Raw genomic sequence first — 25220 nt, 5'->3', positions numbered from 1 at the left:
AAATAAAAATTAAATTGGAGCAGAAATCAATGGAATTTAAAACAGGAAAACAATAGAGAAATAGAGGAAACCAATTAAACAAAAACTCATTCCTTTAAAAGACCAATAAAATTGATAAACCAGGCTAATTAACAGAGACATAAACGATCAATTACAAAAATAAAAGAGGAGTCATCACTACTGATGCCACGGATACAAAAAAGATAATAAAGGAATATTATTAACAACTCTGCCCACAAATTTGGTAATTTAGATGAAATGAACCAATTCCTCAAATGATATAAACGGCCAAAAGTCATACAAGGAGAAACAGATAACCCAAAATCCCTACATCTATTTTAAAAATTAAATAAATAATTAATAACGTTCCATAAAAATAAATCACCAGATCCAGATGGATCCACTGCTGAATTTTGCCAAACATCTAAAGAAAAAATAATACCAATTCTCTATAATCTCTTCCAGAAAAAAGCAGCAGAGGGAACACTTCTAACTTATACTATAAGACCAGCATTATCCTAATATCAAAACCAGATAAAGACACTGCAAGAAAGGAAAACTACAGACCAATATTGCCCATGAACATAGGTATAAAAATGCTCAAGAAAATGGTGCCAAATTGAATCCAACAATGTATTGAAAAATTATACATCATGACCAATATGATTTATCCAGGTATGCAAGGCTGGTTCAACATTTCAAAATTAATCAATATAATCTACCATATTAACAAACTAAGGAAGACATATATAATCACATAAATTGATGCTAATAAAAACAATATCCAGGCTGGACGTAGTGGCTCATGCCTGTAATCCCAGTACTTTGCGAGGCTGAGACGGGCAGATCACAAGGTCAGGAGTTTGAGACCAGCCAGGCCAACATGGTGAAACCCCATCTCTACTAAAAATAAAAAAATTAGCCTGGCATGGTGGCGGGCACCTGTAATCCCAGCTACTCAGAAGGCTGAGGCAGGAGAATCACTTGAATCCGGGAGGCGGAGGTTGCAGTGACCCGAGATCACGCCACTGAACTCCAGCCTGGGAAACAGACAGAGCGAGACTCTGTCTCAAAAACAAAACAAAACAAATACAATATACATTCATGAGAAAAACTCTTAGCAAACTATGAGTAGAGGGAAACTTCTTCAATCTGATAAAGAATAAGTATAAAATATCTACAATTAACAGTATACTTAATAAGAAACTGCCTTGCCTCAAGTATTGGGATCAAGGAAAGGATATCTTCTCTCATGACTCCTATTCAACATAATACGGAAAGCCTTGGCTAGCGCAATAAGACAAGAAAAGGAAAACCCCATATAGAAAACCCTATTGTCTCAGCCCAAAATCTCCTTAAGCTGATAAGCAACTTCAGCAAAGTCTCAGGATACAAAATTAAGGTGCAAAAATCACAAGCATTCTTATACACCAATAACAGACAAACAGAGAGCCAAATCATGAGTGAACTCCCATTCACAATTGCTTCAAAGAGAATAAAATACCTAGGAATTCAACTTACAAGGGATGTGAAGGACCTCTTCAAGGAGAACTACAAACCACTGCTTAACAAAATAAAAGAGGACACAAACAAATGCAAGAACATTCTATGCTCTTGGATAGGAAGAATCAATATCATGAAAATCGCCATACTGCCCAAGGTAATTTATAGATTCAATGCCATCCCCATCAAGCTACCAATGACTTTCTTCACAGAACTGGAAAAAAACTACTTTAAAGTTCATATGGAACCAAAAAAGGGCCCGCATTGCCGAGACAGTCCTAAGCCAAAAGAACAAAGCTGGAGGCATCACGCTACCTGACTTCAAACTATACTACAAGGCTACAGTAACCAAAACAGCACGGTACTGGTACCAAAATGGAGATATAGACCAATGGAACAGAACAGAGCCCTCAGAAATAATACCACACATCTACAACCATCTGATCTTTGACAAACCTGATAAAAACAAGAAATGGGGAAAGGATTCCCTATTTAATAAATGGTGCTGGGAAAACTGGCTAGCCATAAAAAGAAAGCTGAAACTGGATCCCTTCCTTACACCTTATAAAAAATTAATTTAAGATGGACTAAAGACTTAAATGTTAGACCTAAAACCATAAAAACCCTAGAAGAAAACCTAGGCAATACCATTCAGGACATAGGCATGGGCAAGGACTTCATGTCTAAAACACCAAAGCAATGGCAACAAAAGCCACAGTTGACAAATGGGATCTAATTAAACTAAAGAGCATCTGCACAGCAAAAGAAACTACCATCAGAGTGAACAGGCAACCTACAGAATGGGAGAAAATTCTTGCAATCTACTCATCTGACAAAGGGCTAATATCCAGAATCTACAAAGAACTCAAACAAATTTACAAGAAAAAAACAAACAACCCCATCAAAAAGTGGGCGAAGGATATGAATAGACACTTCTCAAAAGAAGACATTTATGTAGCCAAAAAACACATGAAAAAATGCTCATCATCACTGGCCATCAGAGAAATGCAGATCAAAACCACAATGAGATACCGTCTCACACCAGTTAGAATGGCGATCATTAAAAAGTCAGGAAACAACAGGTGCTGGAGAGGATGTGGAGAAACAAGAACACTTTTACACTGTTGGTGGGACTGTAAACTAGTTCAACCATTGTGGAAGACAGCGTGGCGATTCCTTAGGGATCTAGAACTAGAAATACCATTTGACCCAGCCATCCCATTACTGGGTACATACCCAAAGGATTATAAATCATGCTGCTATAAAGACACATGCACACATATGTTTATTGCGGCACTATTCACAATAGCAAAGACTTGGAACCAACCCAAATGTCCATCAATGATAGACTGGATTAAGAAAATGTGGCATATATACACCATGGAATACTATGCATCCATAAAAAAGGATGAGTTCATGTCCTTTGTAGGGACATGGATGAAGCTGGAAACCATCATTCTCAGCCAACTATCGCAAGGACAAAAAACCAAACACTGCATGTTCTCACTCATAGGTGGGAATTGAACAATGAGAACACTTGGACACAGGAAGGGGAACATCACACACCAGGGCCTGTCGTGGTGTGGGGAGATGTGGGAGGGATAGCATTAGGAGATATACCTAATGTAAATGATGAGTTAATGGGTGCAGCACACCAACATGGGACATGTATACATATGTTAACAAACCTGCACGTTGTACACATGTACCCTAGAACTTAAAGTATAATAAAAAATAATAATAAATAATAATAAAAATAAAAATTAGCTGGGCGTGGTGGTACACGCCTATAATCCCAGTTACTCAGGAGGCTGAGGCAAAAGAATCCCTTGAACCTGGGAGGCAGAAGTTCCAGTGAACTGAGATTGTGCCACTGCACTCCAGCCTGGGTGCCAGAGCTAAACTCTGTCTCAAAAGAAAAAAAAAAAGCCAGGCGCGCTGGCTCACGCCTGTAATCCCAGCACTTTGGGGGGCCAAGGTGGGCAGATCACGAGGTCAGGAGTTCAAGACCAGCTTGACCAACATGGTGAAACCCCGTCTCTACTAAAAATACAAAAATTAGCCAGGCGTGGTGGAGTGTACCTGTAATCCCAGCTACTCAGGAGGCTGAGGCAGGAGAATCGCTTGAACCCGGGAGGCGGATGTTGCAGTAAGCCAAGATCACACCACTGCACTCCAGCCTGGGTGACAGAGTGAGACTCTGTCTCAAAAAAATAAAACAAAACAAAAAAAAACCAAAGACATGAATTCTTCCCAACCTGATCTCTAGATTCTTGTGCAATCCCAACTAAAATCCTAGCAAGCTACTCTGTAGGCCTCAAGAAACTAATCCTGAAGTTTATATGAAAAGAGAAAGAATCAGCCAGGCGCAGTGGCTCATGCCAGTAATCCCAGCACTCTGGGAGGCTGAGGTAGGCGGATCATGAGGTCAAGAGTTCGAGACCAGCCTGGCCAACATGGTGAAACCCTGTCTCTACTAAAAATAAAAATAAGAAAAGACAAAGAATCTAGAATAGCTAAAGTGATACTGGAGAACAAAGTTGGAGGACTCACACTACCTAATTTAAAGATGCACAAGAAGGTTCTAGTAATCAGGGCAATTTGGTATTGGCAAGAGAACAGACACGTAGATCAATAAAACAGAATAGACCCCAGAAATGGCCAGGCATGGTTGGCTCACGCCTATAATCCCAGCACTTGGGAGGCAGAGGCAGGCAGAATGCTGGAGCCCAGGAGTTCAAGACCGGCCAGGGCAACATGGAGAAACTCTGTCTCCACAAAACATAAAAAATAAGCTGGACATGGTGCCATGCGCCTGTAGTCCCAGCTACTTGGGAGGCTGAGGTGGGAGAATCAGCTGAAACCAGGGAGGCTGAGGCTGCAGAGAGCCATGATTACACCACTGCACTGTAGCCTGGGCAACAGAGTGAGACCCTGCATAAAAAAAAAAAGACCCCCCAAAAAAAAAAAACCCACACCGATCTTTGACAAAGGAGCAAAGGCAATTCAATGGAGAATGGACAGTCTTTTCAATAACAGGTGCTGAAAAAACTGGACATCTCTATGAAAAATATGAACCTAGACACAGACATTACACCTTATATAAAAACATATTCAAAGTGGGTAACCTAAACTTAACATTCAAAATTGTAAAATTTCTTCAGGAAAACACAGGAGAAAATCTACATAACCTTGGGTTTGGTGAGGAGTTTTTAAATACAATACCAGTACCATGATCCACGAAAGAAAAAATGGTAAGTTTGATCTTATTAAAATGTAAAACTTGCACTCTGCAAAAGATACTGTTAAGAGAATAAGAAGACAAGCCATAGACTGGAATATCTGCAAAACACATATCTGATTAAGGACTTGTATCTAAAACTCTATAAAGAACTCTTAAAATTTGACAAGAAGATAATCCAAGGCCAGGCACAGTGGCTCACACCTGTAATCCCAGCACTTTAAGAAGCTGAGGTGGGAAGTTCACTTGAGGCCAGGAGTTCAAGACCAGCCTGGGCAACATAGAGAAACCTCATCTCTAAGAAAAAAATTAAAAATTAGTTAGGTGTGGGGGTGCATACCTATAGTTCTAGCTACTTGAGAGGCTCAGATGGGAGGATAGCTTGAGCCCAGGAGTTGAAGGTTACAGTGAGGTATGAGCGTGCTACTGCACTCCAGCCTAGGCAACAGAGTCAGACCCTGTCGAAAAGAAAGGAGGGGGAGGGGAGGGGAGGGCAGGGGAGGGGAGGGGAAGGGAAAAGAAAGAGCAAAGAGGAGGGGAAAGGAAAGAGGAGAGGAGAAGAGAAAGGAGAGAGGAGAGGAGAAAGAGGAGAGAAGAGGGGAAAGGAAAGGAAAGGAGAGAAAAGGCAAAAAGTGAAAGAAAAGGAAAAGAAGAAAGAAAATAATCCAATTTTAAAATTGGCAAAAGTACTGAATGGACATCTTACCAAAGAAGATATAAGGATGGAAAATAAGAATATGAAAAATGCTGAACATCATTTGTCTTTAGGGAACTGCAGATTAGAACAATGAGATATCCACTTCACATCTACTAGAATGTCACTGTGACAATGCCAAACAAGAGAAAATCTTATTATTGCCAGTGAGAATGCAAAATGGTATAGCTGCTTTGGAAGACTATTTGGCGGTCTCTTACAAAACTTACTACTACCATATAATCCAGCAATCATGTGCTACTAGGTATTTACTCATCTGATTTGAAAATTTACATTCACACAATAACTTGGATGTGAATGCATATAAACAGGTTTATTCATAACTGCCAAAAACTGGAAGCAATCAAGATGTACTTCATTAGGTATTTGGATAAACAAACCATCACACATCTATCCAATGGAATATTATTCAGTGATATAAAGAAAGAAGCTATCAAGCCACAAAAACACGAGTGAATCTTACTGTATACTGCCAAGTGAAAGAATTTACATACTACATGATTCTAATTATGTAACATTCTAGAAAAGGTAAAACTACAGAGACAGTAAAACACCAATGATAGCCAGTGGTTTAAAGTGGGGGAGAGTTGGATATGTGAAGCACAGACTTTTTAGGGTAGTAATGGTGAATATAAGATAATCACGTTAATAACCATATAACTTCAAAGCATAAAGAATAAACCTCAACATGCAAATTTTCAAAAAATTATTTAGGAGAATGGGGGATCCTAGATTGGCATGCAGACTGCGACAAAAAGTCTAACTATATTCCAAATGTATGAAACAACCTCATCACAGGGGACGTAGGAATAAGGTGCTGACCTTTGGAAATGAGTGGAATATGTAAGACTAAAGAAAGAAAAGACAGGCACTCTACCCTAGTTGATAAAGTTGTTTTCCATGGTGGTACAGGTTAACAATTCTGAAATCACTATATCTGTATACTGAAATTGAACAAGTAAGTAAATGGACGACTGATCGTGGAAGCCAAGTTTCTCCCTGTTGAAGGAGGAGGTTATGGCAGGGGAGGAAGATAAAATAATCTATATGGTAATGGATTTGAACTGAAGACATCAATATAAATTCATGTTCAGCTTAATATGGATACCGATGGTCACACATAGAAATATTTACAGATATATGTGTAATACAGGTTAGTATAAACACATATACTAACATATCTCCTTGTGTTTGTCAGCTTAGAGGGCCTAGAAGCAGTAACATCCCAGGGGCAACGAACATACTTAGCACCCAGATCTTGGTTTCTAATAAAATTCTCCAACAAAAGGAACCAAGTCTCCTTGGAAAAATGGCTGTTTCTAAAACTAGGGCAGGAAATAAACAAAATGAGCACAGAGCATCTTGTAATGCCAGAAAGTAAAAGTTGATGTACACACATACAACAATGGGAGTATGTCAAAGAGATACAAGACCCAAGTGAAAGAACTCCCAAAGGCCAAAGCTGGGACAAAATAAAAGAGCAGTACTGAAGTATAACCCAACACATTAAAAAAAAAAAAAAAATCGGCTGGGCGCAGTGTCTCTCGCCTGTAATCCCAGCACTTTGGGAGGCCGAGGCAGGCAATCACCTGAGGTCAAGAGATCGAGACCATCCTGGCCAACATGGTGAAACCCCATCTCTACTAAAAACACAAAAATTAGCCGGGCATGGTGCTGCGTGCCTATAATCCCAGCTACTTGTGAGGCTGAGGCAGGAGAATCGCTTGAACCCAGGAGGCGGAGGTTGCAGTGAGCCGAGATCACGCCACTGCACTCCAGCCTGGGCAACAGAGCGAGACTTTGTCTCAAAAAAAAAAAAAAAAAAAAAAAAAATCTATGTATTCATACTGACGTAAGTAAATGATTGAATAAATAATTGGGGAAAAGACAAATCTCCCACGCAAAAAAATAAAAAAAAAATCCAAATAATTTATTTAGACTCTTTGCTCTCAAGGAAGTAGAACTCCCCATTCCTTAAGTGTGCAGCGCACAGTGACTTTCTAGTAAAGAATACAGAAAGGGAGAAAAAAAGAAAATACTAACTTCAAAGTGAAGAAACCTAACAAACACTACCTCAAGTCAAGTGATCAAGGTTAACATTAAAAGTGGCAAGTTGGCCGGGCGTGGTGGCTCTCGCCTGTAATCCCAGCACTTTGGGAGGCTGAGGCGGGCAGATCACAAGGTCAAGAGTTGGAGACCAGCCTAATCAACATGGCGAAACCCCGTCTCTACTAAAAATACAAAAATTAGCCGGGTGTGGTGGCACGTGCCTGTAATCCCAGCTACTCAAGAGGCTGAGGCAGGAGAATCGCTTGAACCCGGTAGGCAGAGGTTGCAGTGAGCTGAGATCGCACCACTGCACTCCAGCCTGGGTGATAGAGGGAGACTCCATCTCAAAAAAAAAAGAAAAGTGGCAAGTCACACTGACAGTATGTATTGATGAAAATTGTACTTTATCTCTGTTGTCTTTCTCTCCGAAACACATTACCCCAATATAATAACGAGAAAAACATGAGACAAATCTCAACTGACATTCTACAAAACACCTGAGCAGTAACCCTCAAAACTTTCAAGAGCATCAAAAACAAGGAATGTCTGAGAACTATCACAATCAAGAGGTGCCTAAGGAGACAGGACTACTCAATGTAATGTGGTATCCTGGATGGGATCCTGGAACAGAAAAAGCATATTAGAGGAAAAATGAGGAAATGCGAATAAAGTATAGCCTTTAGTTAATAAAGTATCAATACTAGTTCACTAATTATAACAAATGTACCATATTAATCTAAGATGTTAATAATAAACTGGGTGTGGAGTATATAGGAACTCTATACTGTCTGCAATAATTCTGTAAATCTAAAACTGTTCCAAAATAAAATGTTTATTTTTAAAAATGCAATCAAGGTGTTATAAAATAAAGTTGAGAAAATATCCTAGAAAACAGAACAGAAAGGGATAGAAAACAGGAGAGAAAATATTAGAAATTAGAGAATCAATCTAATGAGGTTTAATATTCTAATAAAAGAAGTCCAGAAAGAAGGAAGGGAGGGAAAGAAGAAACTGTCAAATAAACCACGGATATGGTCTCCAAATGGAAAGGGCCCATTTGGGGCCCAACACATGAATGAAAAACTCTTACCAACCAACATCATTGTGAAATTTCAGAACACCTGAATGGTTGAAGGGAGGATCACCCCATTTAATACTACAGTCTGCATCCCCTACCTCTCCTTTCCCCAACATTCCTGAACTTCCCACCCCAGCCTGCTCTTTTTTCTCTTTTCTAAAGCAGTTATTTACTTTACAAACTCCCAATGTTTTGTATAATTTATTTATTATATTTGCTGTTGAACAACTCCTCCCTCCCTGAATTTAAGCTCTATAAGGACATGAATCTTGTATTTTTGTTCACCTATATATTCAAAATGTCTTGACCAGTGCCCGGCACATAAAATGTGCTCAATACATACTTGCTGAATAAATATAAACGCTTCCAAAGAGATATAACAGGTCACAATCAAAGGATTGGTTATCATAAATGTGAGGGTTAAATAAAAAAATGGTTGACCATGCAAGAACCCAAAATATGTGCATCCCATTCTGTCTCTCTCAGGAAGCTACTCAAAAACATACTCTGCCAATATAAGGGAGACACCAAGAAAAAGGAAAACCTGAAATCCAAGAAAAAGAGGCTACCCACACAGAAGAGACAAATGCAATTCACAGATGACTGTAAAAGGGCAGTCCAGGAAGAGAGTTGTGCAACAGGCCTAGAGAGCAACCCATCAAGATGGAGGCAGGAAAGATGTCGCAAAACAGATTATCAGATGTGTTTGAATCTACTAAGAGGAGACTGATGTATCTGGTTCAAGAGATTAATAGATCAAATAAAGAATACAAAAGACACATTAAAAAGATATAAAACATTTATTTATAAAGAAATATAAAAGGTACATGTACAAAAGAATTAAGATATTAACTAGGAAAAACAAAAATTATACAAGAAAGGAAATAACCTCACACTTACCTTGTTCAGCTACATACAATATTTACATAGTTAAAATGAGGTAAACACCAAATAACTAAAAGTTAACATGTAACTAATTTGGGAATATAGAGGGGAGAGGGGAAGTGAAATGCAGTGTTTAAAGGTAGGAGTTGGTACAAAAAACCTAAACTCCCATCTTCTGTAATAGGAAATGAGTAAACTATACTTCAAATCGCATTAGGATGGGAATGGGGAGGGGATATCGCCATATATCTAAATATGTCATTTTAAAAAACTGGAAGTGATAAGGAATTGAAGTCACTGACTCTGGAGCAGCCTTTCTCAATTAAGGTTCGGCGAGAGAATTAATCTTTAATGCCCTAAGGCTTCCATTTTATGTAATAAACTAACTTCTCTCCTATGCATCCATCATATTATTAGCTACCTACCCTCTTTGGGAGAATTAAGAAAATAGTTGCTCAAATCATTTTTCTTGTTCAGTGATTCAGACAGAAAGCACTGATTGAGAAAGACTGCTTCTGGAGAGTGGGATTCAGGGGTGAGAAGGACTGGGGCAGAAGATTGTTGTTTTTCTCTTTTTTTTTTCTTTTTTTTTTTTTTGAGATGAAGTTTTGATCTTGTTGCCCAAGCTGGAGTGCAATATCGCGATCTCAGCTCACTGCAACCTCCGCCTCCCAGGTTCAAGCGATTCTCCTGCCTCAGCCTCCCAAGTAGCTGGGATTACAGGCATGCGCCACCATGCCTGGCTAATTTTGTATTTTTAGTAGAGATGGGGTTTCTCCATATTGGTCAGGCTGGTCTCGAACTCCCGACCTCAGGTGATCCTCCTGCCTCAGCCTCCCAAAGTGCTGGGATTACAGGCATGAGCCACCGCACCCAGCCCTCTCTTCTTTTTTGAGACAGGGTCTCACTCTGTTGCGCAAGTTGGACTGCAGTGGCACGATATTAGCTCACTATAGCCTCCACGTGCTGGGCTCAAGCGATCCTCCCACCTCAGCCTTCCAAGTAAATGGAACAACAGGTGTGTGCCCCACAACCCAGCTAATTTTGTTTATTTTTTGTGGAGACAAGGTCTCACTATGTTGCCCAGAATGGTCTCAAACTCCTGGGCTGATGTGATCCTCTTGCCTCAGCCTCCCAAAGTGCTGGGATTACAGGCGTGAGCCACCACACCCAGACAGTTTTTCATTATAATCCTTGAAGTACTATTTGACTGTTTATGTACAGGTATCCCTTCGATAAATATAAACATTAAATTTAAAATAAACATAATAGTAAAAAGTAGTAGTAACGGAACTCTGAATACAGGATGTATTTAACAAATTAAGCACAGAAACTGAAAGGTCTAGAAATAGTTTCTTATTAGCAAAAGCCAGAGAATTTTTTAGAAATAAATTATGGAATTCATTAAATAACATATATTTACAAAACATTCCTATCTATATAGCAATGCTCTACTAAGCATTATGTAATTTCAGGTGCCAAGAAAGATATAAAAAAAGATAATATAATTTGTAAAAGGTATGATATGACAATGTAAATACGGTATACTGAAATGTTTTAACATGAAATCTCATTAAGCTGTGTATATTTCCCATTTCAATCAATCAGTATGTACTTTTTGTGCCAATAATCTACCATATTCAGTATAAGACATAAAAGAAATATAAGATATACTCCCTTTTAAAATAGGTTTATTTATGTATACATATAACTTATTTTAGGTAGTATTTTTACTCACTTGGCTATTTATATATTTTTAAATTTAAGAAAAAATCTTCGTAATATTTACAATAAAATGGTTTTTAAAAATCTCTTCATGATTACAAAAATTGGCAGTAACATGGAAGATTAACCAGAAAACCAACAAAACCAACAGTAAGGAGACACCTAAAATGGTTAAGGTAAGAGATGAAGGCCTGAGCTGAGATAATGCAGTGGAGAAAAAAAGGAAATACATATAAAGGTGGCTAAAATGAGCCAGGCATGGTGATGCCCGCCTGTGGTCTCAGCTACTCCAGAGCCTGAGGTGGGAGGATTAGCTTGAGCCCAGGAATTTGAGACCAGCCTGGACAACAGAGTGAGATCCTGTCTCAAATAAAAATAATAAAATGAAATAAAAGTGGCAAAATAATGAGAAGTTTTGGAGACCGAAAGCAAGGGAGAAAGCTGGATTAGTGCCAGGTTTCCACCATGAGTGGCTAGGGTAGATGGTGGTGCCACTGACCATGACAGGCAATACAAAGAGGAGCAGGATTAAGGGAAAACATGAGTTCACGTTTGGACTGTTTGAAGTACCTTGAGAACATCCTGGGAGAGATATCCAAAAGGCAGCTGAATATAAGAATCTGGAATGCAGGAGAGAAGTCTGAGATAGATAAAGATTTGGGAACTGGCAACACACAGCTGTTAATGGATGAGATCACCTAGGAAGAGAATATATTTAGAAGAGGACAAGAGCCTGCCATCAGATAACTAAAGATCACAACTCATGTTCCTAAAACCACTCAGGATAAAACTTTGCCCAGTTATATGTACTTCAGTAGAAAAATATCCAATATATAATGTTAAATGAAAGAAAATCAAATCACAAAACTTTATGCATAGTGCAAACCTATTTTTACAAATAAGTTGTAAAAAAAATTAACAAATGCATAGTAAAAAAATATGAAGGAACAAACATTAATGATGTTAGTAATACTATAAATCTAGGAATGGGATTATGTAAGCCTTTCAGAGCTACATGATATGTCTTCATACTATTTTACTTTTTTTTTATAAGCATATACTTGGCCAGCGTGGTGGCTCATGCCTGTAATCCCAGCACTTTGGGAGGCTGAGGTGGGCAGATCACAAGGTCAAGAGATCGAGATCATCCTGGCCAACATGGTGAAACCCTGTCTCTACTAAAAATACAAAAAAAAAAAAAAAAAAAAATTAGCTGGGCGTGGTGGCACGTGCCTGTAGCCCCAGCTACTTGGGAGGCTAAAGCAGGAGAATCGCTTGAACCCCAGGAGGCGGAGGTTGCAGTGAGCCGAGATGGTGCCACTGCACTCCAGCCTGGCGACACAGCGAGACTCCATCTCAAAAAACTAAATCAATAAAAATAAAATAAATTTAAAAAAAAAAGGCATGTGCTCTTGTAAACCGAGAAAACATAATTTTGTTGTTTTCCTTTAAAAAAAAGTACAGCACGTTTCCTAAGGTCGGGTGAGGTGGCTCGTACCTGCAATCCCAGCACTTTGGGAGGCCGAGGCAGGCGGATCACAAGGTCAGGAGATCGAGACCATCCTGGCCAACATGGTGAAACCCTGTCTCTACTAAACTACAAAAATTAGCTGGGCATGGGGGCGCGTGCCTGTAGTCCCAGCTACTCAGGAGGCTGAGGCAGGAGAATCCCTTGAACCCGGGAGGCAGAGGTTACAGTGAGCCGAGATCACGCCACTGCACTCCAGCCTGGCGAAAGAGCGAGACTCTGTCTTAAAAAACAAACAAACAAAGTACAGCACGTTTCCTTACAATATATTTAAGAAGATAAAAATGTGTTAGAAAAACACTTGGATACTGGACTATAAACGAGCAAATAACATCAACAGACAACTAGTAAGATTATGAAAATTATTCAGTGCACTATCAAAGTAATGAGAATTAGAACATATACCATTTATTGCCTGCTAAATTGAAACAATTTTTTAAAATAATAAAAGTACTCGATGTTGGTAAGGGTGTGATTTTTTTTTTTAAAGCATGTCAGACACTGCTGACAGGAAACAAACTGGTACTATCTCCCATGAAAACAATGTGACAATATGTACCAATAGCCTGAGAAAGATTCCTAATATTTGATCTAACAATTATCTTTTTAGAAATTTTAGAAAAGAATCCATGTGTTAAAGCTCTCTTAAAATGTATCTGGCAGTTGTCTGGTTTTTACTGGACTCCCCCCAGCCCCCTCAAAAAGAAAATAATTCAAAACAACTAAAAACATGCAAAGATATTTCACCAAATCATTAGTTGAAACAATCTAAACACCAACATTAGTGCACAAAAGCAAATTATACAGGCATCAAAAGTAATGTGTTTAACAAACTTAAAAAAAAGCAAAACTCTATGACCTAGCAATTCTACTTACAGAAAAAACACTAGCACGCATACACCAGAAAACATCACAAAGAACTTTCACTGTTGCAAGGGTTGTAACAGTGTAAAATTTTAAACAACCTAACAGCCCACCAATCCAAAAATGGTTAAATCAGCTTTCTCAAACTGTGGTCTCAGGACCCCTGGATGTCCCCAGGAGCCTTTCAGCAGGCTTGTAAGATCCTCGCTTTTCCTGCTACGTATCTGTTCAAGGCTGGTGTTTTCTTCATATGCTTCAACCTAAACCAGATAGCACAACAGACTGAACAGAAGCAAACATGAAAATCCAGCTGTCTTCTATAATGCCAGACATTAAAGTGATTCGCAAAAATTTGAAACAATGCCACGCTCCTCTTCTAAGTTTTGTTTTAGAAAATGGTTACTTTTCACTAAAAAATTATTTAATACATGAGTCTGTGATTTTTAAATGAATAAAACATTTTCAATTTTCTGAGTTTTAATTTCCAAAATGGTAAATATACTGCAGCATTAGGAACCAAAAACTCTATTGGTCCTCAATAATTTTTAAGCGTAATTATCCCCAATCATAATGTTAAATGAACTGTAGCACTATTCTATCATGTAACATTATGATTGAGGATAATTAATGCGGATTTGGCTTTATCTGTAATATAACTGTTTCAAAAGATACTTTGCTCATGTATAATCAAGAAGTCATTTTTATGAAGCTTTTTAAAAACATGGGGAAATGCTTACAACGTAATTTAAATCAAGGAAAGCAGACAATCCAACGATATAAAATCTCATCTCAAGAAAATGCACAGGGGAAAAAAAGACTCAAAGGAAAAAAGTCAAAATATTATAAGTAATTGATTACTATTACATGGTGGAATTATGATTGATCATTTTTCCTTATTCTTTATTCTATTTTTTCAATTTTTGCCACTAAGCATGCGGTTTAATATCCAGGAGAGGAAAAAAAGGAAGAAATTAGGCGAAAAATTATATATAGTTCTACTGGATTAAACCATTAAACTCCCGCCAACTCAAGAGACGACAAGCTCAAGTGAATAAATGGAGGAATCTGATTGAATCAACAAAGTGCCTATTTTTTGAATTGAAAAGATTAACTTAATATCAAATGTATGGACTGGTTTTCATACAAGTCAAACTAATAAGAAAGAACATCCTTAGTCTGGAACATAATATTTGCAATCACGATAGTACAAATAAGAGTTAAAAATAAGGTCCTCTTTTGGAGTTCTCAAAAGTACCAAAGGAAAGGCAGCGGGAAAGACGGCCACTGCATCCTTCTGGTCTCTAACCAAGAGAAAATGCATGGGTGCGGGAATGGACAGTGCGAGAGCACCGGCGGCGATGAGACTCCTCTGCGGGGACCGAGCCTCTGCCACTCCTGAAGAACCACAGTCCCCTCCGCAGTCGCAGCCCCTCCCCAGGCGGGACGGCGGCGCCAGGGCGCTTCTCCCTCCGTCCGCTGGGGTCTCTCCCCCAGGAGCGCCGAACACTCCGGCGGCCCGGGAGCGGGGAACCGGGCAAACAGCCGCCGTGATTGCCCTCCCGGTCCAGTCCGGTCTGGCCCTTCAGGCTCCAGGAGGGGACATCAGATTGGAGGGCCAGGGTTCCCCGGCCAGCTCCGGGGGCTCGGAAAAGGAATCGGTCGGGGCCCAGGCTCTGTCCCCAGAGGAAGAGGGCCAGACCCAGCGCCCAGGTCGGCGGGTCCAGCGGTCACCCCGCCCCCCTGTGGGAACAGCAGGGCTGAGGGGAGGCCGAGACGACCGGTCACGGGGGGCTCTTACCTCCCTACAGCCCCTGCGGAGCTTTTTGGGAACTCGACACGACGTCGCGCTGAGGAGTGAAGAGCTACCCCGGCCGGGAGTCCTGGGAGTGCCAGATCCCGGCTCAGGGCTTCTTTCCCCGCCCCACCGGGCAGCGCAGAGAGCGCAGGCGCAGAGGACGCTTTCCTCTTCGGCTCACACGCCCCCTCCCTCGGCATCCGCGGCCGTCTCCAGGCCCGGGGCGCTTGCGCACTACGACGCAGGTTCCGAGCCAAGGGCACTAGATTTCTTACCGGAAGTGCCTGAGTGGGTTGTTGGGTGACGGGGACGCCTGATGATTCGACCTTAGGTCGGGACTCGGTTCTCCACTCGACTGCGGGATCGGGAGGCCACTCGCGTCAGTGTCTGACTTCCTTTACCCTTCGCTAACCTAGAGGCAGCTTCCCCGGCTCCAGCCTTAGCCCTTTGCTGAGCCTGCGCGGCGTTCCGGTCTCTACTGGACAGACCCGCCTTCCCGGCAGCGGGCTAGGCCTGCTCTCCGCGCTGCTGGCCCCTCGGAAAACATAACTTTTTGTTTACTTCAAACTGATTTTACAACACGCTGCCCCCCCGCCTCCCCCGCTTCCCCCGCTTCCCCTTCCTCCTCCCGGCAGCAATAAAAATGCTCCCAGCCAACGCCGAGCTCCAAGCCCCTCCAGCTGACTGGACATTCCCAGCCACACTTTCCTTCCCTTCGCTGCGTTAGTTCTGCATTTTTATTTTAAAGCAGCTGGTAGAACAGCTGTCTCCCTGTCTAAAAGCAAAAGCTGACTTATCTGATGTAGAAATAAAATGTCACTCACTTGATGTATATTTGCTTGTTGAGTTTTGCTATTTTTACCACAAGTTTCCTATAAATTTAAATGAGACCCGGCGCGGTGGCTCACGCCTGTCATCCCAGCACTTTGGGAGGCCGAGGCGGGAGGATCGCTTGAAGTCAAGAGTTCCAGACAGGCCTGGGCAACATAGCAAGACCCTGTCTCTACTAAAAATGAAAATGAAAAAATTAGCCAGGCGTGTTGGCGCGTGCCTGTAGTCCCAGCTACTGGCTGGGAGTCTGAAGTGGGAGGATCACTTAAGCCCAGGAGGTCAAGGCTGCAGTGAGCTCTGATGGCAACACTGCATTCCAGCCTGAGCAACAGAACCAGACCGTGTCTCTAAAAAAATAAAAAATAAAAACAAGGGAAGAGACATACATGTGGGATCAGATACAGACAGATACAGGGAAAAAGCAGTTCCTCAAAGGTTAAACAGCTCACAGTTCATACTGATCTTTCAAAAATCGCAAGAATTGGCCGGGCGCAGTGGCTCACGCCTGTAACCCCAGCACTTTGGGAGGCCGAGGCAGGCGGATCACCTGAAGTCAGGAGTTCGAGACCAATCTGGCCAACATGGTGAAACTCCGTCTCTACTAAAAATACAAAAATTAGCTGGGTGTGGTGGCGGGCGCCTGTAATCCCAGCTACTTGGGAGGCTGAGGCAGGACAATCAGGACCATTGAATGAACCCAGGAGGCAGAGGTCACAGTGAGCCAAGATCGAGCCACCACACTCCAGCCTGGGTGACAGAGCAAGGCTCCGTCTCAAAAAAGAAAAAAAAAAAATTGCAAGAATTATAATTTTTCGAGTATTCCAGCCACATGTGATTTGTGATGAAAGATTTGAGAATCAGGGTTCGCATCTTAAATCTGCAGTTTACAACTATAGTTCCTGATCTTTGAAAGATACTTAATCTTTAACCTTGGTTTTCCTAAACAACAAAATGAAATAGCCAAACTTTTGATTGCCTAAAGTAATGTGTGTATTGAGCATCTGCTTTGTGACAGTGTGTTAGATGCTTTGCTTACGTTATCTCATTTAATCCTAAGAATAATTCTACAAACTACAGTATGCCTTTTTCCTACTATGTGTTAGGCATTGTTCACAGATAAAATAAAATGGGGCCACTGCCCATGGGGAACCACAGTCTAGTAGCAGAGACTCACATATACAAATGCATACTGGGGACAGAAGTATTTATACGGTAAAGTGTGAGGGTAAAGAGAATAGAAAAAAGACACAAACACCTTAAATAGATCAATGGGGAAAGTATATACAATGGTCAGTTCACAAAATATGAAATTTAAATGCCTACTACACATTTTACCAATCAATATTCAAAGTCATTAATAATAAACAGAGACAAAAAAGAGGTTGTCTGGCATCTAATTACCCAATCTGTTTAAAATGTGAATAAACTCGATTGGTGACAGAAGAGTGAAGTGGACACTTATACCCTGGGAGGGATATAAATTGGGACAAAGATTTTGGAAAGTTATTTGTCAAATCATATCAAGAACCTTATGAGTGTTCACATGACCCAATTTGATCATTTCTCTTTTGGAAGTTATAAGAAGGTAGTCCAGAAGACGAAGATCTCTATGGAAAGATACTTAACCATAGTAAGTAAATTGATAAAAGTCGAAAATCCACCATTAAGAGAATGGTTAAAATAATTACTGCATGTATGTGATTAAAACTATTAAAATTATGTTTACAAAGAATTTTTAATGGCCTGAGGAAATTACCTCATGAAAAAACATTTTAAATATTTAAAAATATTTAACATTGCCTATGTAGTATGAGGTCAGCTATAGTATACAATGTATGTAAAAGAGTGAAGAAAGTATATCAAAATGTTGATAGTAGTCATGTCTATCTGATTAGAATGTAGATGTTATTATCCTGGACAGTCTACATTTTCTACAACATCTATATATTACCTTTATATTCTGGGGAAAAAGAAAAAAACCTCTAATGTAACAAGTGTGATAAGTTGACCAGGAAACCTAAGAATCCATTTCCCCTGTCATTTCAAGTATGGTCTTTAGAGTCTGATTACCTGAATTTGAATTCTAATTCTATAACCTATTAGTTGTGTGGCCTAAATTTTCTAAGCTTGATGCTCCTGTAGTCAAATGCTAATAGAACTAATACATTGATTGAGATAATCCACATAAAGTACTTAACTGAAGCACTGACTGTAAATGATGAATAACTGTTATTCTTTTTTTTTTCTTTTTTTGACAGGATCTTACTATATCACTCAGGCTGAAATGCAGTGGTTGGATCATGGCTCACTGCAGCCCCAACTCCTGGGGCCCAAGTGATCCTCCTACCTCAGCCTCCAGAGTAGCTGGGACCACAGGCGTGCATCACCATGCCCAGATAATTTTTATTTTTATTTTTTTAAAGACAAGGTTTCACTATGTTGCCTATACTGGTCTCAAACTTCTGGGCCCAAGCAATCCTCCCAATTAGAATTCAAATTCAGGTAATCAGGTAGTCAACCTCCCAAAGTGCTGGGATTACAGACATTAGCCACTGTGCCAGCCTAACAATTGCTATTCTTGATGGTTATATTTCTTTTTATAAATTGATCAGTTACATCCATGTTGTTATATCAGTAGCCTATGAATTTGGCTAATGCAAGTATAAGTTCCCTGGAGCACAATTACTTGCAAATACATTTTAAAACTGAATTTCTTAGTCTACTAAACTGAGAATAAGATACAGGGACTTGATGACCACTCCACATGTTTGTCACTATATGAAGACTCGTTTGCTCTGTTTTTGTTTCTGTTTTTGTTTTTTAAGGAGAATTAATAAGTTTGTTCATATAAAATTTGTAGCCTTTGATTACCTTTTAATGCCAAATGTCTACTAAAAATTTAATCTGCTAACAAAGCAATTGCAATACTTTTAGTAGATGTTTAGAATTATAATAACCTTTCCTAATTATGCTTTGAAAGAGTATTTAATTTGGGTTCCACAAAACTTCTGATCTATAAAGTAGTAAAAATAGATGAAATCAACCAACAAACCAAAGTTCAAATCAATGACTACTACTTTAGCCCAATAGTTCTCTGTGGAGGTGAGGGGTGATTTTGCCTCCCAGAGGACGTTTGACAATCTCTGGAGGCATTTTTGGTTGTCACCACTGAAAGAATGCTACTGATATCTAATAGATACAGGCCAGGGATGCCGCTAACTGTCTTGCAATTCACAGGAGAACCCCCAACAACAAAGAAGTTTTCAGCCTAAAATATCAACAGTGCCAAGGTTGAGAAACCCTGATTTAGCCAGTGAGTGGTTTAAAGCTAGTATATTTCTTCCAATTCCTAGTAAACAGTTCCTTTTTTTTTTTTTTTTCTGATGACCACAGCGGCACAAATGTGAGTTCAGAAATTCAGAACTGGGTTTTGAACTTCTACATAAGGCCCTATACCAATGAAAATTAAACTTTGTACCAAGTAGTACCCAAAGTTAACTAGATTAGAGATAAAAAATCTACAATGACCAGTTTTATGGAGCAGACAGCTGGTCAGTTGTACTCTGGCACAGAAAAATGCTCCATTCCTATTGTTCAGTTGCACCAGACACACGTATCATCACTTATTACTAAGAACCACTTTATAAATAGCTGTCATTTATTGATCACCTACTGTTTTCAGCCTTTATCTTATAAGTAAACCAGGTGTTCTCGCAGTATGAACATTGTTGCTCATCCATAAACAAAACCTGAAGTTCAGGATTTCTCCCTGCTGTTATAACTACTTTGTTAAGTACAGGCTGTTATAACTACTTTGTTAAGTACAGCAACACTTACTGGTCAAGGCCTTTATCAAAACAGCAAACTGAAGAACACACTCTCAACAGCCCATTCTCCTTTTGTACAAAGTGCTATAATTTAGTATTGGTTCTTGTGAGAGAGGCTTTTCAATTCTCTAAGGAAAGTTTTAGTTGTGGTGCTCAGATAATCGCTGTAGATCCTTGTATTTAATACAGCAACTGTATTTACTTAAAGTTATAAAGTCAAAAAGCTCAAATAACCAATATTTTTTCTGAGTTCTTTAGAAATATATGACAAACAATAAATTAATGACATAGCAATGATTTGTTGATAAACATAATAAATCTTATGAGCTTTCTATATCAACAGTAAAAAAGAGGAATAACTGGTGTTTAATTCAACAAACACTTATTCATTTTTTTTTTGTTGTTTTGTTTTGTTTGGTACAGGGTTTCACTCCCATTGCCTAGACTGGAGTGTAATGGCTCGATCTCGGCTCACTGCCGCCTCAACCTCTGTGGCTCAAGTGTTTCTCCTGCCTTAGTCTCCCAAATACCTGGGACTATAGGCGCATGCTACTGCACCTGGCTAACTTTTGTATTTTTTGTAGAGGCAGGATTTCGCCATGTTGCCCATGGCTGGTCTGGAACTCCTGGGCTCAAGCCATCCACCGACCTTGGCCTCCTGAAGTGCTGGGATTAGAAGAGTGAGCCACCAAGCCCAGACAGTTTATTAAACATAATTGCATTGTTTTTCCTATTGATCTTGCAGTCATTGCAAGATCTTGCAGTGCTTTTGAATTGACAAAGAAAATAGAGATAAAGTTACATGAATTTTTAGAATTAAATTGTGTTTTATTATATTAAGGTGATTTCCTTAACCATTATAATAAATGAAAGCTTATTCAATTAACCTGGTCCAACCCCTCTCTACACATATATTCAATAAGCAAAAAGAAATGGTCAGTATGGCATGAACCTTAAATTATTTTTTAAAACCAATTGTTATTTTATAATACATTGATTATATTATTTTGTTAACAGATTCAACAATTGTAGCTATGTTAGCTAGTGGTTTCATGTTATTTTGTAACATGTAGTTATGTTACTTTGTAGATTCATGTTACTTTATAACACTAAATACAAGAAATGTGGCTTAGTTTTTGGCTTTGGAACTGAGTAATAAGGAAAATCAACAAGCTACTAAAAACTCAAATGCCTTTCACACACAAATGAAATTGAACTCTGTATTACCTTTATTTGTTTATGGGTGTTTCTTCTGCTGTGCAGTGCATTATGCTAGGAGTTGGAAGAAAGGTGAATAATTCATGTTTTTTGCCATGAAGAAGTTCACAATCCACTGTATCATTCTTTTATTTACTAACAGATATTTGAGAGACTGATGGCAGGTGATAAAGTTACAAGATCTTTGTGTAGATTCTTGGTCAATTAAATTTTCCATGAATTCCTTTGTTGATTGAAATGAAAAAGAAATCTGCATATCAAATTCAGTGTCAAATCAAATATTGACGAAAACGTATCCTTGGCAAAGTTTGGATCATAATTGCTAAAAAATTCCATGTGTCAGCTTTGGCCTCTAAAGAGCTCAGTTTATAACAGTGGTTTCTGCATTTGAGGAAATCATCCCAAATGTAACATGTCTGGGCAATTTATTCCCTAGACCAACCAGCCATGACTGAATAATCTACAGTTATTATTATTATTATTATTAGACAAGCTCTCACTCTATCATCCAGGCTGGAGTACAGTAGCCCAGTCATAGCTCACTGCAGCCTCAAACTCCTGGACTCAAGTGATCCTCCCACCTTTGCTCCCCAAGTAGGTGGGACTACAGGTGCTTACCACCACATCCAGCTGATTTTTAAATGTTTTTCTAGAGACAGCGGGAGGGGGTGAGGGGTGGTGGGAATGTCTCATTGCGTCGCCAAGACTGGTCTCAAACTCCTGGTTTCAAGTGATCTTTCCACCCTTGCCTCCCAAAGTGCTGGGATTACAAGGCGTGAGCCACTGCGCCTGGCCAGTTTTTATTATTTTCAAGAGAAACAGGTATCCTGATGATTTTAAGAGGCTTAAATTCCACAATAATATGAACTCCCAAACCTATTCACTTTTCATAAGTAACCTGGGTAAAGAAAATACCAAAAGCAAATTAAACTTAACTGCAGTATTGCAATTTTTCATTTCTTTCCTGTTTCTTGGCTGGTCTTATGCTAACATGCAATTTTAGAACTAGGGATTCTTTGCCCCAAAGCACAAAATGTGACCTGGAACTATTAGTTATCCACTGGTATTTAAGTGCTATATAACCATGTTAAAACACTCATATTTCAAGAAAAAGGAATTTTAAACTTTTTTAAAGAAGATAAGACCTTTGTTAAAATTATCCGCTGGTCCATGGCCATTAAGATCAGCTGTTTGGAGCAATGTCACTGCTATTGATTGACTATGTTCTCCAAAATTCATGTATTGGAATTTAATGGCCAATATGATAGTATTAAGATGTGGGGCCTTCAGGAAATAATTAGGTCATGATGAGGGCATAGTCTTCATGGACAGGATTAGGACTATTATAAAAGGGCTTGGAGCCTGGGTGACATAAGGAGACCCCATCTGTATAAAACTTTTTTTGTTAAATTAGCCAGGCATGGTGGCGTGTGCCTGTGGTCCCAGCTAGGAAGGCTAGGGCAGAAAGATTGCTTGAGCCTGGGAGGTCAAGACCTGCATGCAGTGAGCTGTGATCACACAACTGCTCTAGTCTGGGTGACAGAGCAAGACCCTGTCTCAAAAAGAAAATTAAAAAATAAAAAATAAATAAAAGGGCTTGGTGATATGGTTTGGGTGTACTTGAATTGCATCTCCCAGAATTGCCACGCATTGTGGGAGGGACTCAGGGGGAGGTAATTAAATCATGGGGCCAGTCTTTTCCATGCTATTCTCATGATAGTGAATAAGTCTCTTGAGGTCTGACATGGGTTTATCAGGGGTTTCTGCTTTTGCTTCTTCCTCATTTTCTCTTGCTGCTGCCATGTAAGAAGTGCCTTTCACCTCCCACCATGATTCTGAAGCCTCCTCAGCCATGTGGAACTATAAGTTCAATTAAACCTCTTTTTCTTCCCAGTCTTGGGTATGTCTTTATCAGCAGCATGAAAATGGGCTATGAAATGCACTTGGGTTCACTCTCTTCCACTCTTCCATGTGAGGACACCAAAACAGCACTATATAGAAGGAACAAACCTTCCCCAGACACCAAACCTCCTTACACCTTGATTTTGGATTCCCAGCCTCCAGAACTGCAAGAAAATAAGTTTCTGTTCTTTGTAAATTACCCAGTCTTAGGTATTTTGTTATAGCAGCACAATATGACAGTCACTAATGAAAAAAATGGTTACAGTTTTGATGATCATGAGAACTAATTTTTTTTAAATGCAAAGAAAAGTTTGGAAAGAAATTCACTAAAATATTAACTGTGATTATCTTTGGATGGTAAATCATGAGTGATTCCCCTCTTCTTTCTGAGAAAAAAAAACTTGAATAATTGAACTCTTTCTTTTTAAAAGTATTGCTAAATTCATAATTAAGTCAACCTATTACCTCACATTTATGATGCAATCTCTGCATACAGTATATTGCATGACTGTGCATCACAAGCCACAAATAAACCAAAAGGATGAATGAGCACTTGTGTCTGGTTGCTGCCTTAGAGGTGGCAACAAGAAACAGTCATTCCCAAGGCTCAAGTATGATACAGCTTCAACATCATGACACAGGTTCTCTCATCAAATTATTTGCCAAATATTTTCAGTTCTTCTTTCTTCTGGTCATATGATGGCAGCGTACTTCCTGGCCCCCTTGAGGTTAAATAGGGCCATGTGACTGATTCAGGCAAATAAATTGTGAGCAGAAATGACATGTCATTTCTGGACTGAATTCTTTACTCACCAATGTGAGATCCTACTGATCCTACTTTCCCTCTGGCATAACAATAGACAAGATTTGATACTGTGACTGCTCCATCAGCCTGAGTCTCTGTGGGATTTCAATGAACAGAACACATCTAGAGGAAGAAAAAAAAAAAACCTTGTTGTTTTGTGCCCTGGGATTTTGAGAGTGCTTTAGTACCGCAGCATAATTCAGTCTATCCTTGAAGATAAACTGGAACTTTGTGTTATGCCCCTGAGATTTGTGGCTGGCTATTCTGATTGATACACTGAGAGAGTGCTTCAACGAGACTATCTGCAACAGCATTGTTTCCTGGCATGTTTTTCCTTTGCAAGTGAATTACTCTATATTCATTGTCACAGATCTTATTTTTATCTATACACCCACCCCATTTTATCCCCTCTCCCCCACAATTAGATTATCTTGAGGCAAAGCTCATTTATTATATATTTTATCTCTAAATTTTTCTACATGTATATTTAAAAGATAAGTAGAAAACCTACAAAGTGGAAATAATGTAATCAATCCCCTCGTAGCCAATCCCATAATCCAGCTGCAATATGGACAACCTAGTTTCATCTATTCCATTACATACCCATATGATTTGAAAGCAAATGCCATATGTTGTATTATTTCATCCATAAATATTTCAATATATATTTGCAAAAGAAAATAACTCTGCCTGGGGGCAGTGGCTCATGCCTGAAATCCCAGCACTTTGGGAGGCCAAGGCAGGGAGATCACCTGAGGTCAGGAGTTCAAGATCAGCCTGGCCAATGTGGCAAAACCCCGCTCTACTAAAAATACAAAAAAAAAAAAAAAAAATTGCTGGGCGTGGTGGTGCATGCCTGTAATCCCAGCTACTTGGGAGGCTGAAGCAGGAAAATCGCTTGAACCCAGGAGGCAGAGGTTGCAGTAAGTGAGATCCAGCCTGGGTAACAGAGCAACACTCTGTTTCAAAAAAAAAAAAAAGAAAGAAAGAAAAAGAAAAAGAAAAAAAGAAAGAAAGAAAAGAAAAGAACTCTTCACAAAAATCTAATGATAATACCATAATCATTCCTGAAAAATTTTAATAATAATTCTTCAATATTACCAGATATTTAGGTACTGGTATTCATATTTCTAATTGTTTCATAAATGTCATAATTTTAATGGTTTAAATGAATCAAAATCCAAATAAGATCCACATACTGAGATTAGTTCATGCATAATAATGTTTCCTGTTTCTTTTTTGTTCCTAACAGTT

General features: G+C 39.4%; 1 protein-coding gene across 19 annotated transcripts in view, besides 2 other annotated features; it reads right to left on the bottom strand.

Annotated features, from left to right (window-relative positions):
• The window catches only part of ZFYVE16 (zinc finger FYVE-type containing 16), a 75770-nt gene extending 59840 nt beyond the window's left edge, over positions 1 to 15930 (bottom strand). For 8 of the 19 annotated variants that reach the window (XR_007058663.1, NM_001284236.3, NM_014733.6 and 5 more), the window contains exon 1: positions 15387 to 15476. The gene's annotated coding sequence lies outside the window, so the exon portion shown is untranslated. Of the gene's footprint in view, positions 1 to 11766; positions 13849 to 15386; positions 15477 to 15658 lie in introns of those variants that run through there. The other 11 variants (NR_146172.2, NR_146174.2, XM_017010091.2 and 8 more) reach the window with 4 other exon arrangements.
• Positions 14716 to 15514: an enhancer, noted in NCBI's record as "H3K27ac hESC enhancer chr5:79703845-79704643 (GRCh37/hg19 assembly coordinates)". NCBI's record gives its function as "activates a minimal SCP1, AML or CMV promoter by ChIP-STARR-seq in primed H9 embryonic stem cells {active_cell/tissue: H9 hESC(primed)}" and the evidence as "EXISTENCE:reporter gene assay evidence [ECO:0000049][PMID:30033119]".
• Positions 14876 to 14995: a silencer, noted in NCBI's record as "silent region_16138". NCBI's record gives its function as "represses an Ori minimal core promoter by ATAC-STARR-seq in GM12878 lymphoblastoid cells {active_cell/tissue: GM12878}" and the evidence as "EXISTENCE:reporter gene assay evidence [ECO:0000049][PMID:35858748]".
• Positions 15931 to 25220: the final 9290 nt, after the last annotated feature.

This window comes from Homo sapiens, chromosome 5, assembly GCF_000001405.40.
Source record: "Homo sapiens chromosome 5, GRCh38.p14 Primary Assembly".
NCBI classification, from domain to species: domain Eukaryota; kingdom Metazoa; phylum Chordata; class Mammalia; order Primates; family Hominidae; genus Homo; species Homo sapiens.
Note: the sequence above shows the minus strand (reverse complement) of the source record. Positions and strands in the feature narration are given on the sequence as shown.